A 19,718-nucleotide genomic window follows, 5' to 3' on the forward strand; every position below is an offset into this window, starting at 1 on the left:
ACCTATCATGAAGCAGATATTCAAAGATTATTTGTAAATCTTCACACCCCACCCCTTCCAGAATGTCTTCCAACATCCCTTCGCCTGGAGAAATAAAACACAAGGTTTGCATGTTGAGTATCAGCCTCTCCCATTGGGTGGGTGTTTAGGAAAAAGAATCAGCCAAGAGCCCTATTCCAGCCCAGGTAAATGACTTTGCCAAAGATTTAATATCCACAAATGTACAATGCTCACTGGGAACCAAAGTCAGGCATGGGGCTGGGCTTTAAGGAGCACAAACAAAAAGGAGGGACTAGAAAACTTCAGAAAGGTATTGGTGGGGGATGTTGCGGGGGGACAGGGGACAGCGAGGATGTGGGATCCCGAGATCATCCAAATCCCTATGTGTAGACATATGTGTATAAAGGCCTTTAAGAGACTCAGGCTGATGGGGTATCTGTAATAAATCAAACATAATATAACAGCACGTCAAGTGATAAGGGGACTCTGGAAAAACAAGCAGCAAAAGGAGCAGTATCAAACTCCACAGAAATTCACAAACATCAAGACACCAAGAAAGCTGCATTCATTTAAATCAAGGTGACAGGCTGGGCTCTGTAGCTCCAGCCTGTAATCCTAGCACTTTGGGAGGCCAAGGTGGGCAGATCATTTGAGGTTCAAGACCAGCCTGGCCATTATGGTGAAAGCTCCTCTCTACTAAAAATACAAAAATTAGCTGGGCATGTTGGTGGGTGCCTGTAATCCCAGCTAAAGAGGCTGAGGCAGGAGAATCACTCTGAACCTGGGAGGCAGAGGTTGTAGTGAGCAGAGATCACGCCATTGCACTCCGGCCTCGGGGACAGAACCAAACTCCATCTCAAGTAAATCAATAAATCAAAGGTGACAGTTACTGAGTGATGCGGGCCAGGTACAATGATATACCTTCATCTGGATTACCCTCGTGAATCTGAATCACTTGTGTGATATCTGTGCTTTAACGAGTCCTATTTCCCATACTCTTAGCTGGCTTGAGATGTGAAAATCCACCTAAATTATAAACAGAGTGAAAAAAAAAAAAAAAAAACTAGTGATGTCCTTCCAGGGAACATGTCTAGTTAAAATTAACATAGATAAAAATCGGCAAAAAGATATTTTAAAAAATCTTTTGAAATTAAAAGCCATATAAACCACTGTGTCAATGATGAATTAAAAGAAGAAACTGACCTGCAAACCAGGAAATACATGGAAAGAAGCAATAGTGAAAATGCTTCAGATCTAAACCTGTGGAATGAGGCTACCTCAGTGTCCAAAAATATCATCACTTAAATATAGTGCCAAGGGGTGGGGTGTGGTGACTCACCCCTGTAATCCCAGTATTTTGGGAGGCCAAGGTGGGCGGATCACTTGAGGTCAAGAGTTCGAGACCAACCTGGCTGACATGGTGAAATGCCGTCTCTACTAAAAATACAAAAATTAGCTGGGTGTGGTGGCAGGCACCCATAATCCCAGCTACTCAGGAGGCTGAGGAAAGAGAACTGCTTGAGCCCGGGAACCGGAGGTTGCAGTGAGCTGAGATGGCACCACTGTACTACAGCCTGGGTGACAGAGCGAGACTCTGTCTCAAAAACAAAAAATTTCCAATGAATAAACTACCTAGCAAGACTTATAGAATGAGACTAAAACCATGGCTGGAGGAAAACTTTTAGCCTGAAAGTAGCCTATGACTTAGAAATTAAGGCAAAAAACTAAGGAGTAAGAAGTTACCCTTCAGGTTAGAAAACCAACAGCATAACAGGAAATGAGACAGGGAAGAAATAATCAGATGGGGCTGAGATGGGGGCTTATGGGGATGAAGGAGGCAGGAAGAGCATGTGAAGTTTGTGCATAAAGTCACTCCCTAAGGACAGTCCCTGGGAGGAAGGTGGGTGCACAATGATCGAGCTAGATGTAGAAGGTCTAGAAGGCAATCCTGGAGGGTACATTCAGGGGTTGACAGCAGATAAGAAAACAGGAGGGAAAGTCAAGCGTGGAGCCTTTCCTGTCCCCAGCATGGAAGACAGCAGGAGCTGGTGAGTGAAAGTGATAAACAGCCTTCTCATCACAAAAAAAGTCAAGTACTTGAGGTAACGGATAGGTTAATTTGATTCTCATTCCACACTGTATTGAAAAATCACAACATCATTTTATACCCCATAAATATATACAATTTAGAAGATACATAAAAATCAGCAAAAAAAAATAAACTATTCTTTGAAATATTTTTCAAACATGCAATTTATGGGGTACAACCTAATTCGTCTATATATATATATATATATATGTTTTTTAAACAGGGAGTCAATAAACACAGCAAACAGCCCCTTGGGAGGGAGATAAGGAAAATGGCCATAATGTGCCCTTAGAAAGACACAGCATTTAAATCCATGCATGTGAGAACTCCAGGGTTCAAGGTAAGACCAGGTCAGTGAAGAACAGCCGGCTTATCACCTATAGCCACAGGATGGCACCAACACCCACTGCTCCAGCCTGAGCTGGCCAGAGAGAGAAAACATTCAAGAAAAGCTGGGACTTCCCAGAAGGCCTGAGACCTGCAGGTCCCACACTGAAGTCCAGTGAGGGAGGAAGGTATGATATGAGGTGAAAAAAATACCATAGAGGTGTAGCTGAAATGAAACATTTAATAGTTATTAAATAGTCATTGTACTTCAGGTAAAAGTAGGTAAAATGACAGAAAACGAGACGAATGAGCCAGACACCACAGATATGTAATGATGGACAATGACCTGATGTGGAGTGTTCACCCACACATGCAGACTTTATATGTTCACATAAACATTTATCTGCATGCATCACCCCATAGAGATGTTTACACAAACTGCACTGACACTGTGAAGTCAACGAGGAGATAAAGTAAAAATCAAATAGTTATGGAGAGGGTTGATCTGTTTAGTGGGAAACCCTTCAGAACACGCACACAGCATCTCCCCTCCCTTCTGAATACCATCCATAGCCTGCAGTAGATGGCAAATCACAGCCTGGGCCACCCTTCCCAGAATGTCCCAAACATGGACATGCAGACCACAGAACTCACCAGATACTCAAGATGGGTGGTGCCGGGCTCTGAAAGACATGCTTCAAGTAAGAGGGACTAGAAAACTCTGCCAGGGAGCAAGAGGGATCGGGGATTCCAGGAGGATCCAGGGGCCTGTGCAAAGAGCAAGCAGTGAGCAGACGTGTGTGTCAGTGATTCGGTGGCATGAACTCAACACCATCTAATACAGCAGCTCACATTTCTGTGTGCATCAGACTCACCTGGGGACTTGTTAAATACAGATTGTTGGGTCTCACTCCTAGAGTTTCTTCTTCAGTATTCTAGGGAGCAGCCTGTGAATCTGTATTTCCAGCATGATTTTCAGGTGCTATTGATACTGTTGGTCCAAGGACCACACTATGATCTAATTTAGCACCAGGTTAGGGGAGGAACTAAGGAGCAAAGAAGCAACAGAAGAAGGGACCTGAAGCCTGTAGGTGCTTCTCTGTAAACTCCTCAAACATAAAAGCCTTCAAGACATTCAAAGAGCATTTACAGCATCATGTCTACAAATACAAGGCACCACGCAGGGAGTGCTCCATCAAGTAGAAGAGCCCACTGAGTGTCCCTCTCTTAGTCCGTTTGTGTTGCTATAACAGAATACCACAGACTGGGTGATTTATAAGCAAGAGTTCACTTGGTTTACGGTTCTGAACACTGGGAAAGTGAGGGGCCTGCATCTGGTGAAGGTCTCACTGTGCCGTCCTATGGTGGAAGGTGGAAGGGCAAGAGAGTGACCACATGTGAGAGGGGGGAGGGGGAAAGAGAAAGGGAAGGAAGCCAACCTCATCCTTTTATCAGGAACCCCCTCCCAAGATAACTAACCCACTCTAGCTTCATCCATTCATGAGGGCAGAGCCTTCATGACCTAATCACCTCTTAAAGGTTCCACTGGTCAACACTGTTGCATTAGGGGTTGAGTTTCCAACACATGAACTTTGGGGAACACATTCAAACCACAGCAGTCCTCATGTAAACCTTCCAGAAAACCTGTGTGCCTGGCACTCTGGAATCCCTCTTTTCCACCCCTTCCCACTGCAACTCTAACATCGTGTCCCCTCATCATTTTCCATTCGAGCATAGGAAAGAACACAATCACTACACCCATTTTTGATGAACCTTTCCTACATTAAAATAATTCTATCACTTAGAAATTTGCAAAAATAAATTTTCATTTTTGATATGAGCGAATATGAATTTTTTTTTTTTTTTTTTTTTTTTGAGAAGGAGTCTTGCTCTGTGGCCCAGGCTGGAATGAAGTGGCAAGATCTCAGCTCACTGCAATCTCTGCCCCCGGGGTCATGCGATTCTCCTGCCTCAGCCTTCCAAGTAGCTGGGATTACAGGCGTGCAACACCACACCCGGCTAATTTTGTATTTTTAATAGAGATGGGGTTTTCCCTTGTTGGCCAGGATGGTCTCGAACCCCTGACCTCAGGTGATGCGCCCGCCTTGGACTCTCAAAGTGCTGGGATTACAGGCATGAGCCACTATGCCTGGCCCTGAATATGAAATTCTGTATTAGTTTAATGAAATATCTAAAATATATAGAAAATAATTACCAAAAATGTTCAATGATGCAAAGCAACACATACAGTGAGATATTACATCCTAAAATATATAGACATAAATATGTTATTTAAAAAATCAAGCAGAAACATAAGGGGCTCTATACACACCTTTTAAAATAAGCTTTCTGGCCGGGTGCAGTGGCTGATGCCTGTAATCTCACACTTTGGGAGGCCGAGGCGGGCGTATCACCTGAGGTCAGGGGTTCGAGACCAGCCTGGCCAACATGGTGAAACCCCATCTCTACTAAAAATACAAAAATTAGCTGGGCATGGTGGTGGGCACCTGTAATCCCAGCTACTGGAGAGGCTGAGGTAGAGAGAACTGCTTGAACCCAGGAGGCAGAGGTTGCAGGGGTCCAAGATGTGCCACTGTACTCCAGCCTGGGAGACAGAGTAAGACTCCATCTCAAAAAAATTAATTATAGGCCAGGCGCGGTGGCTCACGCCTGTAATCCCAGCACTTTGGGAGGCCACGGCGGGTGGATCACGAGGTCAGGAAATTGAGACCATCCTGGCTAACATGGTGAAACCCTGTCTCCATGAAAAATACAAAAAATTAGCCAGGTGTGGTGGCGGGCGCCTGTAGTCACAGCTACTCAGGAGGCTGAGGGAGGAGAATGGCGTGAACCTGGGAGGTGGAGCTTGCAGTGAGCAGAGATTGCGCCACTGCACTCCAGCCTGGGCAACAGAGCGAGACTCCATCTCAAAAAAATAAAATTAATTATAATAATAAAATAAAATAAGCTTTCTAGGTTGGGCACAGTGGCTCACCCCTGTAATCCCAGCACTTTGGGAAGCTGAGGCAGGCAGATCACTTGAGGTCAGGAGTTCAAGACCAGCCTAGCCAAAATGGCAAAAAACTGTCTCTACTAAAAAGACAAAAATTAGCCAGGCATGGTGGTGCACATCTGTAATCCCGGGTACTCGGGAGGCTGAGGCAGGAGAATCACTTGAATCTGGAAGGCAGAGGTTGTAGTGAGCTGAGATTGCACCACTGCACTCCAGACTGGTTGCCATAGGAAGACTGTGTCTCAAAAAAAAAAAAAAAGATTTCTAGTTTAACGCTAGAATTAATTTGAAATTCTGTCAAGAAAGAGGTACTCAAAAAACATGAAAACTATGTAAGTCACTAATGTATCAAAGAAAACAATCATTCTTGTATTGCAAATAAATACCCAACCAAGACAAAAAGGCACGTCACGTGTTATGGGAAAAGACTGAAATGAGGGTGAGAGGAAAACTGTGACCCTTGAATGTAAGACAGAAAAAAATCAGCGCAGGATGTTAAGGAATTGGAAATAATTCTCCATATTAAAGAATTACAAGAGACAGAAAGAGAGGAGAGAGGGACACGATAGTCACAGACTGCAGGGGTGTGGGGTAGATGGGAATAAAGGAGGCAGAGAGAGCAGTGGGGATGTACATAAAATCACCCTCCAGAGCTGTGCTGTCCAATAAGGCAGCCACTTGCCACATGTGGCTGCTGAGCACTTGAAAGATGGCTAGTCCAACCTGAGAAATGCTGTAAGTGGAAAACACATTTTAAAAAAATTCTGAATACTCAGTATAAAAGAAAGAATGGGCCAGTGTGGTGGCTCACATCTGTAATCCCAGCACTTTGGAAGGCCAAGGCGGGAGGACTGCTTGAGCCAGAAGTTTGAGACTGGACTGGGCAACATAGCAAGACCTCATCTCTTCAGAAAAAAAAAAAATTAGGCCGAGTGCAGTGGCTCATGCCTGTAATCCCAACACTTTGGGAAGCCAAGGTGGGTGGATCACTTCAGCTCTGGAGTTCAAGACCAGCCTGGACAACATGCCGAAACCCTGTCTTAACAAAAAAATACAAAAATTATTCAGGCGTGGTGGCACATGTTTTTGGTCCCAGCTACTTGGGAGGCTGAGGTGGGAGGATCATTTCAGCCCCGGAGATCGAGGCTGCAGTGAGCCGAGATTGTGCCACTGCACTCCAGCCCGGCTGACAGAGTGAGACCCTGTCTTTAAAAAAAAAAAAAAACTAGCGTGGCATGGTGGTGTGTGCCTGTAGTCCGAATACTAGGAAGACTGAGGCAGGAGGATCTCAAGCCCAGGAGTCTGAAACTGCAATGAGCTATGCTGGTGCCACTGCATTCCAGCCTGGACCACAAAGCAAGACCCTGTCTCAAAGAAAAGAAAGACTGTAAGCTATCTCATTAATAATTTTTATTTTGATAAGATGTTGAAGTGATATTTTGGATAATGCTAACATTTTAGGTGAAATAAAACTAATTTCACCTGTTTCTTTGTAACCTTTTTTTTTTTTTTGAGATGGAGTCTCCCTCTGTCGCCCAGGCTGGAGTGCAGTGGCGCTATCTCGGCTCACTGCAAGCTCTGCCTACCGGGTTCACGCCATTCTCCTGCCTCAGCCTCTCGAGTAGCTGGGACTACAGGCGCCTGCCACCACGCCCAGCTAATTTTTTGTATTTTTAGTAGAGAGGGGGTTTCACCATGTTGGCCAGGATGGTCTCGATCTCCTGACCTCGTGATCCACCCACCTCAGCCTTCCAAAGTGCTGGGATTACAGGTGTGAGCCACTGCAGCTGGCCTCTTTTTCACTTTTCTAAAGTGACTACTAGAAAATCTAAAATGACGTATGTGTCTGGCATTGTATTTCTATTGGAAACTACTGCTGTAGAGAGAAATGGTCTCTAGGGAGGCAGAAACATGAGAACCACAAGAAAGGTGGATGGAGGGCAGTGACAGACACATCTGGTGGGTACCTTCAGGTGCGGACAGCGGGAACCCAGGAGATTTGGGTGTGGACAGGCCCCCATCTATGCACAGCAGGAGAGTAGCATGACTGACACTAGGGGTGCTGAGCTGACATACAGAACTATTCAGCTTTATAAACATGTGAAAAACACCGCTAAGTCACTGACATTCCACAGAACAAATCATAATAGAAATGAAAAAACAGCCAGGTGCGGTGGCTCATGCCTGTAATCCCAGCACTTTGAGAGGCCAAGGCGGATGGATCATGAGGTCAGGAGATCGAGACCATCCTACCTAACACAGTGAAACCCCGTCTCTACTAAAAATACAAAAACAAAATTAGCCAGGCGTGGTGGCGGGAGCCTGTACTTCCAGCTACTCCAGGGGCTGAGGTGGGAAAATGGCGTGAATCTGGGAGGCAGATTCTTGCAGGGAGCCGAGATCGCCACACTACACTCCAGCCTGGACAACAGAGCAAGACTCCGTCTAAAAAAAAAAAAAAAAAAAAAAAAGAGAGAGAGAATTAATCTTGATGGAAAATATAAAACACTTCTTCAAGAACATTAAAGAAAATTCTAACCACCAAAACATTTGGAATTAGGGTAACTGAAATGGCAGTTTAATCCTCCTGAAGGAATTTTAATTTCTCACTAACAGTACTTTAAAGCTAGGGGTAGAAAATTTTTTTTATAGCGTTTCACAAGCATTAAAGTTAAAAATCCAAAATCATGTTTTTCTCTGACAGGAACTCCTCCTCAAAACAGAAGAAGCCTATAGGATTTTAACCTGGAAACTACTCAGGGAATCTGGAATATTCCTTCCAGGGATATCTGCAGCTGAAACCTGGCAGTAATTTAAACAAAACCAGACAACTCTTGGGGTATGGTTGGAGCCTGAGGTCTACAGATGGGTCATTTTATATGCTGAGGTCTGAACAAGATGATTTTAACCCCTTAAAATGATGGAAACAAAATAAAACAGAATAAATTAGAAGACAACACAGGTGAGTAGTTTAAAGGGCCTACTTGCTGTGTTTTCTCTGGTCTTCAGGTCTCCTCACTGTGGCGGGATCCAGGCGCAGCTCTAGACCAAGAAATGGGAGGATTTTAGAGTGACTGATGATTTCTCTATCATCTGCAGTTAGTAAACATTCTCCACAGTTTATGCAAAAAGTAACAAAACCACTGCAGATGACAAACACTAGGTAACACACATACTATCTCCCAAATACCTACCCACAAGCTCAACAATTTTAAACTGTTAGGATCACTGGCTCTAATCACCATGACATGAGGTCACCACCAAACCATCAAGCGCTAAACAGACAGAATGTTTCCACTCCTGATCCACTGTGTGGAGAAGCACAGAGCTTACCCACTGGGGCCCTGCATCAGAAGAGATGCACATGCACCGGGGTGTGCATTTGAACGGAGCGATCAAACCACCATCCCCACAGCTCCTCTGTTCATGGGCACTGCAGTCTGTGGCCTCATGTCCTTTGGGGGACACAGTGGGAAGGTAACCCACATTTCAGTGACACCATCAAGAAAAACACACTGTGGCAATTTGCCCTGATTTCTCATGGGCCTTTTCTCTTTTCCCTTTGGGTTGTATAGACTTCCCTACTGTCCACCTGACCACTCTCATGCTGCCCAAAACCATAGCTTAAGTCATCAGCTAGGCGTTTCTTGGTGTAACTATCGAAAGGTGAGCCTTACCTGTTCAATCTCTAGCGAGATTTGTTCAAAATCTGGACCTAGAAGAATAAATAAACAAGATTTGCCTGAGTAGGTTTGGCTTTTTCCTTCTTGGGGAAAGCCCTTAAGAAATATCAGCCCCTTGGCCAGGCACCCACCTGTAATCCCAGCACTTTGGGAGGCCAAGGCGGGTGCATCACCTGACGTCACAAGTTCAAGACCGGCCTGGCCAACATGGTGAAACCCCGTGTCTACTAAAAATATAAAAAAATTAGCCGGGTGTGGTGGTGGGCACCTGTAATCCCAGCTACTCTGGAGGCTGAGGCAAGAGAATTGCTTGAACCCAGGAGACGGAGGTTGCAGTGAGCCAACACGGTGCCACAGAACTCCAGCCTGGGAAACAGAGTGAGACTCTGTTTCAAAAAAAAAAAAAAGGAAATATCAGACCATTTGCCCAACAACTCCTTGTGCCCTTCCTTTAGGAACACAGTGAAAATCCCCCCGGCTCCACACACTATAGCGCAGGACAGACCCACAGAGAACAAGACCCAAGAGAACCCACCATAATACAAACTCAGGGCAGGGTTTCCACCATCAAATGTTCAAGCCTGCAATGGGTTGGGGAGAGTGGTGGTTCCTGAGCTCCAGATTTTCGTGGAGGTGGGAGGTGGGCACTAGGCTTTGAGGAGATGTTACATCTGTGCAAACTCACACACAATGAAGATTACACCAGGTCGGGTGAGATGGTTCAGAAAAGACAGAAAGCAGAGGAAGAGGCTGAAAATATGGGTTTCTCTGTAAACTGTGAGGACAGAAAATACCAGCAACACCCCAGGAAGTGTTTACAGCCGCATTTCTTCAATTAACAGGGCAAAGTTAGAGCAGCAACAACCAGACAAGGGCCAGGCACTTCCCCTGGGGCAACTGATGTAAACCTGGAAATCAGCCACCCTCAGTGTCACCATTTCATGATGAATCAAATATACAGAGAAGTTCATTGATGGGTTTGGCATCACAAAGCTAAAAAATAAAGCCAGAGTCCCAGGCATATACTGAATGCTCATTGACTGAAAATCAACCTCACTGGATAAGCGCAAAAGAACTCATTTTCCACATCCCTTACGGTATCCTCTCTGGTGGCTATTTGCTCTGTAAATTACCTATGACAGAAGAAAAAGAAGGAAATGAAAACTCAGGAAAGTAAACACTCTTCTAAACTCATGAATAGTAAAATATGGAAATATCCCTGAGAATCTAGGAGAATATCCAAAGAAAATGCATTATAGGAGGGTAAAAAGGCCATTTGGCAAAGCCTACAAAATGAGTCCAAAATATGGTTCACAAGGAAACTTACCTTCCAATGCATCCAAAACAGAAGAACAGCAAAAGAAGCTCCTGATTCCTACTGAGGTGAGAATATCGGCACAAACAGAAGGAAATCAGGCCAAAAAAAAGTTACAGGCCAATTTCTAAACTGCTGTTAGATCTAAAACAAATGAGAAAGTCCTGCCCTAACCAATAAACCAGAGCAAACACTATGCATTTCAAACACTGGGGGACGTGGGCGGGGGTGAGCCTGTTCTGTGCAGGACCCTTCTAACATATGGGAGAGTCTTTGACCCCTCCTCAGAATAATGCCATAAACTATAAAAAAACACAATTCATAGAATTTCAAAGGAGACCAATTACTTAGAAATGCAGCTATCAGGATGCTTTAATTTTTTCTGACATATTAATATTGCTGTGATAGTTTTAAAAAATAGCTGAACATTTCTTGCCACTCCTCCCTTTGGGAGGCAGAATCGATGTCCTGTCTCCCCTATCCTGGGTGGATTTGCTGTGCTACCTCATAAAAGACCCCTCAGCATCTGCCCTGGAGCCCTGTGCCTCCTAAGAATTCTGACTACCCTGAGGCTGCCAGGCTGTAAGGAAGTCAAGGCCATATGGAAACACTACATATAGGCACTCAGTCTCAGCTCACCCCCTCTTCCAACATCCCAAGCCAGGTATCAGATGTGAGGGAACAAGCCTCCAAATGGTCCCAGACCCCAGCTGTTGAGTCTCCTGTGCTGAGGCCAGACATCATAGACAGAGACAAGTGGGCTACCCTTGTGCCCTGTCTGAAATCCTGACCTGACCATGAGAATCCACAAACATAATAAAATGATTGTTTGAGCCACTAAATTTTGGTGTAATTCCTGACATACTAATAGTGTCTGTAACAGCCACCTTAACACATTAAGTAACAATAGCAAGTAGCAAGTCATCACTGGGAAGTGTTATTTGGAATTGTCTTGGGAAGCAGTGACAACCATGAAGGCTATTTGGAGATGCTGTCAGATGACATAAAAACTGCTGTGGTCTCACTGTTAACAATGTCCCATACCCACGGGGTCTACAGCCTATATTCAAGATGGAAGGAAACACTACATTTTGGTTAGAGGAATGTGATTTATATACATATAAATCGGCTGGGTGTGGTGGATCACACCTGTAATCCCAGCACTTTCGGAGGCCGAGGCGGGCAGATCACCCGAGGCGGGGAGTTCCAGACCAGCTTGACCAACATGAAGAAACCCCATCTTTACTAAAAATACAAAATTAGCTGGGTGTGGTGGCGCATGCCTATAATCCCAACTACTCTCGAGGCTGAGGCAGGAGAATCGCTTGAACCTGGGAGGCGGAAGTTGCAGTGAGCCAAGATCGCACCATTGCACTCCAGCCTGGGCAACAAGAGTGAAACTCCTTCTCAAAAAAAAAAAATAAATAAATAAATAAATAATCAAAACCAGTATTACAGTTGATAAAGGAAATCCCAAAACCTCCTTAACTGGTTTCTTTCATAAAAGTTACTCTACATACGTGCCCTAAAAATAAGACGTTGGGGAAAATACTACCACGGTCGTACCTGAGCGAGTTAGAGAAAACGCCACACTTTGAGACACATGAAGAATCCGTTTATTTAGCTGGTGGCCAAGAGACGGCTAACGCTCGAAATTCTCTCGGCCTGAAGAAGGGGCTAGATTTGCTTTTATACTTTGGTTTAGAAAGGAGAGGGGGGGTCTAGTTAAAACAATTTTACAGAAATAAAGTAGGCAAAAAAGTTAAAAGGATAAATGGTTACAGGAACGTTAATAGTTCCAGGTGCAGGGGCTTTAAGATTATTACAAGGTGATAGACGCGGGGCTTTTGGGTGTAATCAATTGGACGAATTCCTGGGAACTGCGGATATAGCTTGCCACAGTATCTTATCAGTTAATTGCATTCTTGGATGTGCTGGGAGTCAGCTTGCACAAGTTAAGTCCTTGAGGAAGCGGCTGCCAGTGAAAGAGCCAAGATGGAGTCCATCTGGCGCTCTTAGCTAAGGGAGAGTCAATTCAGGTGGAAACAAGGCTGAGTGATTAAAGGAAAGGGAGAGTCTAAAAACAGGGTTAGTAAAAACCAGGTTGGACACTACATTCCCCACTTGTGTTTTTGGGGAATCAAATCATTGATTCCTCAGTTATAACAAGGGGGTTATATTGAGTCTTAAGATACATAAGTTTGACAGAAGCTATGCATTGTTTTACAAAATTAAGAAAAAGAATTAATCTAATGGCTTCACCCAACTTAGGTGCAGTTTTAAGGGGCCTGACCCAGCCCTGGGGACCCATGTTTCTAGTTGGGCTCCGTTGGCCTTTTTGATGCGGGAGTGATGAATCCACGCAGGAATGCCATCCACCTTCAGAGCCGTTGGCATCGTGATGACGGTGTGAGGTCTCTTCCAAGCAGGAGGGAGTCCTTCTCTCTGGAACTTTTTAACAAACAACAGGTCACCTGGCGGGAATGAATGGCAGGGCCCTGTCTGTTCAGGAATTGGATTGGGATGGGTTCCTCGAACAAGTGGCAGGATGATATCTTGTACCTGTTGGGGAGACTGTAGGTACTGTAATAAATTAGTTTGTGATATTTTTGCCAATTGGGCATCTCTTAGCTTAGGCAAGATAGGCAGCGCCCTCCCATACATGATTTCAAAAGGTAAGAACCCAGCCCAGTAAGGGGTGCACCTTACTCTAAGTAGGGCTAAAGGAAGGAGACTTACACAATTTACACCGGTTTCTAAGATTAATTTTGTAAGAGTGTTTTTTAGGGTGCAGTTCATGCGTTCTACTTGCCCAGAGCTCTGGGGTCGATAGGCACAATGGAGCTTCCATTGAATGTTTAACGCCTTACTGACTGACTAAACTATAGACAAGGCGAAGGCCGGTCCATTATCAGACCCTATGGCAACAGGCAGCCCATGTCGAGGGATGATTTCATTGAGTAAAAACTTAACTACCATATTGACAGTTTCGTTTTTGGTAGCAAATGCTTCAGTCCATCCAGAGAAGGTGTCTACCAGTACTAGAAGGTATTTGTACCCAGCCCGGTGTGGTTTTACTTCTGTAAAGTCAATTTCCCACTTTTCTCCTGGTGAGTTTTCTTGGAGACGGTGGCCTGGGCTGGGTTTAGGACCTTTTTTGGCATTTACCTGGGCGCAGGTTGTGCACCGGAGAGCTGCTTGATCTGTTAGGCTTTGAAGATGGGGGATCTTAAAACGGCTCCGGAGGAGCTGAGGTAGCTTTGCTCCTCCTAAATGGGTGGTAGACTGTAGGTGACTGATTAAAGTTTTCCCAAGAGTTCGGGGTATGAAGATTCTAGAGTCAGGAAGAATCCACCAACCTTCCTGATTTTTATTGGCTCTGAGTTCTGAGGCCAGTTTTCTTCTTCTGTTGAGTATGCGGGATTGTCAGGCAGATCTGGCTGTGGAAAGGAGACTGTGGGCAGCAAGTTTAGAGGCGTGACTGAAAGTCACACTGCATCTTGAGCTGCTGAATCAGCTTTCTGGTTACCACGGGCAACAGCCGTGTTTTCCTTTTGATGTCCTTTACAGTGGATTACAGCCACCTGCTGAGGTGAGTAGCCCACGCTCCTGGTAGATGGCTCCACGTACATGCACAGTAGCAAAGGCGTACCTGCTGTCAGTGTTAACGTTAATATCCTTACCCCATCGGAGAGCCTGAGTGAGGGCGATCAATTCAGCCTTTTGTGCTGAGGTGTTTGCTGGTAAAGCCTGAGCCCACAACACATCTGTCTCCATGGTAACAGCTGCACCGGCCTTTCGTAGTCCCTTCTCGAGGAAGCTGCTACTGTCTGTGAACACGGTGGCATCCACCTTTCCTAGGGGCACATTTTGAAGATCAGGTCGGCCAGTTTCAGTAGTTTCCAACAGTTCCTGACAGTCATGAACAGGAATAGTGGAGTTTGAGTCAGGAAGTAGTGTAGCTGGATTTAAACACCATGTGGGAGGGGAAGTCAAATGAGGCTGATCTAACAGTAAACTCTGATACTCCAGGATGCTTTATCAGTGGCTTTTTTCAGCTGCCTGAGCTGCTTGTTTTTGTTTTTCAACCTCTTGACTGTCAAAAACCTTTTAGGCTATCTCTAAAAGCTGACTGGTATTCATTCCAGCAAAATCCCTCTAGTTTTTGGAGTTTCCTTTTACTATCTGGGGCTGCCTGAGCCACAAATGCCAAATTAAGAGCATGGCTATTTTCGGGGGCTGCCAGGTCAAAAGGGGTGTAAATCCGATAAGCCTCCTGGAGGTGCTCTAAAAACACTCCTGGTGACTCATCATGCCCCTGGACGACTTCAGTCGCCTTAGACAAGTTTATAGGTTTCTGAGCAGCTCCCTGAATACCCACGAGGAGATACCGGTGGAAATCGTCAAAAGTTCTCCCTCCACTTGAGAAATTTGGGTCCCAATTAGGTCCCAATTGGGTCTCTAATCACTATTCCTCTAGCTTCCTCCTCCGGCCTATTGGTTGATGTGAGGTTGTACTTTTTGGCCTCTCTTTGGATACTTTCCCTCTCTTCAGAGGTGAAAAGGGTCAAAAGGAGCTGTTGACAGTCATCCCAGGTGGGCCAATGTGTCCAGAGTACAGACTCCATCAGTGAGGTCAAAGCCTGGGGCTTTTCAGAGAAGGGAGGATTATGGGTTTTCCAATTATACAAGTCAGAAGTAGAAAGAAGGGACATAAACCAGGAAGGGGGTGGAGCACTCATCACCCAGAGGGACTTGTGCCTCTCTCAGTGGTAGTAGAGGGGCTACTTCCTCCCACCACGGTTGCAACCAAGAGGCAATGGGTGATGAGCCTACAGGGGACATAGCCGAGGAGACATGGGATGACCCTAAGGGAGTAGGCTGGTTTTAAGGCGGTGGGACTGGGTGAGGGAGACTCTCCTCTTCTTCAGAGAGAGGCAGTACAGGGCGAGCTAAACCGGCTGAGGGTCGAGGCGAAAACACGGTCTGGCTCAGGAGGACCTTGGAGGTAAAATTATGAATGGTGCATGAGTGGAGCCATGGAAGGGGTGCTCCTGACCAAACTCAGCCATTGATCAATGTAGGGAAACTGATCAGGGAGGCCGGGAGTTTCAGTAACAACCCGCCACACAGCTTGAACAATTGTGAGGTTCAGTGACCCTTCAAGGGGCCACTCAACTCCAAACTTTGGCCATTCTACTTTGCAGAGTGTCCAGAGCTTGCCTTTTTTAAGGCGGACTCCATAATCCTCTGAGAAACCGAGAGAAAAATTCTGCAGCATATACTGGAGAGGGCTCCAACCCTTACAAGGCTGGGAGGAAGTGTTTCCCCTTTTTTTTTTTTTTTGAAGGCAATTTAATAAGATTTGAACATAGATATCAAACCCAGCACAGACAGAGAAACTCACTCCCTGGGGGGCTGGAGTATCGAAAGAACAGAATCAACATGACCAGAAAGAGCAGAAAAACCACAACAGCTAAATACCACTTGCCACATCACTGTAGCTTTAAGATTGAGGGAGGAGGACTAGAGGCCAGCCCGAGATCTCCTGGGTCAGTTGGATCTAGGTGTTCTCTCTCTTCTTCTAGATCTGTACCCTAAATACCTTTTGTGTCTCCATGACTCAAAGGCAAATAGCTCAAACCCAGCTTTTTCTTTTAAGGGTTCAAGGAGTGAGAGCAGAGCCAAGTCCTGGAGACGCTGAACTTGCTGTCGCACTGGAAAACGAGATGTGTGGGGTAGGGGGCAGGGAGGAGGAAAAGGACCACTTGGATCGTTTTTAAGATGGGAGAGTAGCCACAGAGGAACAGAGTAAGAATCTAAACGAAGTAAAGCAGTACGAGGGTAGGTTTCCCTACACAGTGTGCTATTTAAGGGCACAGGAAAAGTTACAGAATGACCAAAGAGGTGAGCAAGGAAATCTGCAGGGTGGCTGTTTTGAACCCACCACCAGTTTAGTTTAGAGGAGGTCCAATCAACCTGGATGTGGGGTATGACAATCTAAATACAACCATCATGGTGCCAGAAATCCCAATCAGGCGAATGTTTTTTTACACTCATTCCCGTAACAACACCTGACTTGCTTCTGGCAGAAAAGACAGGACTGTGGTGGCCAGCCTAAATGATTGATGAGAAATTTAACCTCCTGTGACAAAAAATCAGCACTAAGGACCTTGCAGAAGTTCTTACCCAGACGTCTTGGGCAATATCGACGTCCTGACATGCAAAACCTTGACAACCACTAAACAAGACAATAGACACCGAACAGAACAATAAACATAAAACAAACAGTTGACCCTAGGGCATGTAAACAGTTATGACAGTTTCTTCTTTTTTTTTTTTTAGACAAACAAGGGGAGGGGGTCCCGTGATGGGATCAGTCAGATGCCCGCCTGGCCGCTCCCCCTTAGGGGACTTGGGCTCCTCTTAGCATTGACAGGCCGGTATAAACCCCCGGCTCGGATCGAGCTATGCCGGATGCTGCCTTAAGCCTTATGAGGTCGCCACGGAACCGCAGGTGAGGGCCCACTTGAACTCCGTAGCTTTCGCCGTGGAGCTACAAACTGGAGGACAAGCGCAAGCCCTTGTCCTCCCCCATTCATTCACCATTCACACAGAGTTTATAACAGTTTTTCTTTTTTCTTTCCCAGAGATTCTCCAAGAAACCTGAACAAGGAAAGATTAGAGATAGAAAAAGAGAGAGAGAGAGACCAGTCTGCCAGAAACCAGGACTCAGTCCCCCAGCATCCTGGGATGTGGACTGACTCAAGGGATGGCCCCTGTCAGGGCCACTTCCCTCCCAGACAGAGACACAGAGGCGTCTAACAGAAAACCAGGGCTCTACCCTCTAGCATCCTAGAGAAATGGGCAGAGTCAAAAGAGGGACACCCTCATCAGGGTCGCTTCCCTCTGCCAGAACCAAAGTCAAATCTGACCTACCTGACCCCGGGGTCAGCAGTTGAGGACTCAGAGGTGGAATTTTTGTGGGCACCCACATGGTAGTCGATCCGCTGTCCTCCGGAAGACGGTCACCCTTTGGGGACCTGGAAATTTTTTTTTCAGGTGGCACTCCCCCCTACAAGCTGGCTGTCCTTCCGGGGGAGCACACAGCGGGCCCGGCTCTCGCCCGGTGACGTTTCTCCCGGTGACGTTTCTCGCTGGGGCCTCCAAATGTCGTACCTGAGCGAGTTAGAGAAAACGCCACACTTTGAGACAAATTAAAAGTCCATTTATTTAGCTGGCCGCCAAGAGATGGCTAATGCTCAAAATTCTCTCCGCTCTGAAGAAGGGGCTAGATCTTCTTTTATACTTTGGTTTAGAAAGGGGAGGGGAGGTCTAGTTAAAACAATTTTACAGAAATAAAGTAAGCAAAAAAGTTAAAAGGATAAATGGTTACAGGAAAGTTAATAGTTCCAGGTGCAGGGGCTTTAAGATTATTACAAGGTGATAGACGCGGGGCTTTTGGGCATAATCAATCGGATGAATTCCTCGGAACTGCGGATATAGCTTGCCACAGTATCTTAACAGTTAATTGCATTCTTGGATGTGCTGGGAGTCAGCTTGCACAAGTTAAGTCCTTGAGGAAGGGGCTGCCAGTGAAAGAGCCAAGATGGAGTCCATCTGGCGCTCTTAGCTAAGGGAGAGTCAATTCAGGTGGAAACAAGGCTAGGTGATTTAAGGAAAGGGAGAGTCTAAAAACAGGGTTAGTAAAAACCAGGTTGGGCATTACACTACTAAGATATCAAAACCAGGAACTTACTTCCTTTAAAACAATTCCAAACTAACTCGCTGTGCCTTACACAGAAATTTCCCCCAAGAAATATGGTTTTATAAAGCCTGAGAAGTTGTTGCTATTAGGACAAACACCAAAACTAAAAATTGGTTTAATTAGCAACAACAAAATTCCATTTTAACTGGCTGTCCTTATCAGAGACAGTCCACTAAATAATACAACTGGCAAAAAGTGAGATTTTGTAAAGGTTGGGGTGCTTTATTATAAACATAACATAAACCAGGAATGTATTTTAATAAACCTCAACCTGCGGGTCACTCCCTCCCAGGCGTGCAACAAAACACCTGCCTAGAAATCAAAAGGCGTTTTACCCGAGTGGGCTGAAAAAGCCCCGTTTTTACCTTTAATCTGGAGACAATACGGGTCAGAGGTCAGGAAACTACATCAGCGCCAGTGCGAGCGCCCACGAGTCCGGTGGACGGATGAGAAACGGCCGGGGGGCAGCCTGAGTCCCAGTTCCCGCCGTGGCAATGGCCAATTTCCCACCCGTGGACGCAAAAGGCCAGGACTCCACGCTGCTGACCCTCCAGCGTCCCATGTCCGGCAGGCACGTGGCCGAATAGCCCAAGACTGAGGACTCACACTTCCCACTTTGCACCTGGAGGCCACCTGCAGACCAACCTTGCGCCAGGCTTCCGGAAATGGGAGGGCGGGCTTCCGGAAACGGCGGCCAATGGGAAACGTGATCAGATGTTACTAGGCAGACAGTCCGTTTCCAGGCAACACAGAAGAAAGGAACGCGCTCAGTCAGCCTCAAATAGACGGAGATTTCAGCCAATGGATGTGCAGGTTCCCTCCACATTAGCCAATAAGAAGTGCTTGGGGCCTACCTGCCTACAAGCACAGCAAAAGCTTTCCTGCGCATTTTTGCGCTGGAATGGCTACCTGCCGCGCCAAATCAAAATTTACAATCACCCTTGGTGCTGTTTCCTGCACTTTCTTGGAGATTTGCACCAGGCGCTGGAGACCCTCCCACCTGGCCCATGCCTGCCACCCGGTGAACACCAAGACCCAACCTTCTGCACCACCAGTCTTGTTGTCAGCGAACAGGCTAGTAAATTATTGAAGGGGTGGCCTGCCCCTCCACACCTGTGGGTATTTCTCGTCAGGTGGAACGAGAGACTGAGAAAAGAAAGAGACACAGAGACAAAGTATAGAGAAAGAAAAGTGAGCCCAAGGGACCGGCGCTCAGCACACGGAGGACCTACAGGGACACTGGTCTCTGAGTTCCCTCAGTATTTATTGATCATTATCTCTACCATCTCGGAGAGGGGGATGTGGCAGGCCAATAGGGTAATAGTGGGGAGAGGGTCAGCAGGAAAACGTGAACAAAGGTCTCTGTGTCATAAATAAGTTTAAGGAAAGGTGCTGTGCCTTGATGTGCACTTATACAAACATCTCGGTGCATTAAAGAGCAGTATTGCCGCCAGCGTGTCTCACCTCCAGCCCTAAGGATGTTTTCTCCTATCTCAGTAAGTAGAACATACAATCGGGTTTTA

General features: G+C 45.9%; 2 long non-coding RNA genes across 6 annotated transcripts in view, besides 1 other annotated feature; one reads left to right on the forward strand and one right to left on the reverse strand.

Annotated features, from left to right (window-relative positions):
- CYKILR (cyclin dependent kinase inhibitor 2A regulated lncRNA) overlaps positions 1-8,405 on the forward strand; it is a gene marked incomplete at its 3' end in the record, with an annotated part of 52,208 nt that extends 43,803 nt beyond the window's left edge. For all 3 annotated transcript variants that reach the window (NR_199170.1, NR_199167.1, NR_199166.1), the window contains one exon: positions 8,134-8,405. This is a non-coding gene — a long non-coding RNA (cyclin dependent kinase inhibitor 2A regulated lncRNA). The remainder of the gene's footprint in view (positions 1-8,133) is intronic.
- On the reverse strand, positions 175-18,867 carry LINC00665 (long intergenic non-protein coding RNA 665). 3 transcript variants are annotated; one of them, NR_038279.1, is made up of 6 exons: positions 18,561-18,832; positions 17,367-17,606; positions 9,107-9,144; positions 8,414-8,471; positions 3,071-3,184; positions 175-436 (listed from the first exon to the last, which is right to left on the reverse strand). It is a non-coding gene; the product is annotated as a long intergenic non-protein coding RNA 665 (long non-coding RNA). The 3 variants fall into 3 exon arrangements; NR_038278.1 differs by lacking the exons at positions 175-436; positions 3,071-3,184 and adding exons at positions 6,830-7,874; positions 9,244-9,339; NR_199171.1 differs by lacking the exons at positions 175-436; positions 3,071-3,184; positions 8,414-8,471; positions 9,107-9,144 and adding an exon at positions 12,021-14,339 and having other exon boundaries at positions 18,561-18,867.
- Positions 14,875-15,376: an enhancer, noted in NCBI's record as "H3K4me1 hESC enhancer chr19:36818663-36819164 (GRCh37/hg19 assembly coordinates)". NCBI's record gives its function as "activates a minimal SCP1, AML or CMV promoter by ChIP-STARR-seq in primed H9 embryonic stem cells {active_cell/tissue: H9 hESC(primed)}" and the evidence as "EXISTENCE:reporter gene assay evidence [ECO:0000049][PMID:30033119]".
- Positions 18,868-19,718: the final 851 nt, after the last annotated feature.

This window comes from Homo sapiens, chromosome 19, assembly GCF_000001405.40.
Source record: "Homo sapiens chromosome 19, GRCh38.p14 Primary Assembly".
NCBI classification, from domain to species: domain Eukaryota; kingdom Metazoa; phylum Chordata; class Mammalia; order Primates; family Hominidae; genus Homo; species Homo sapiens.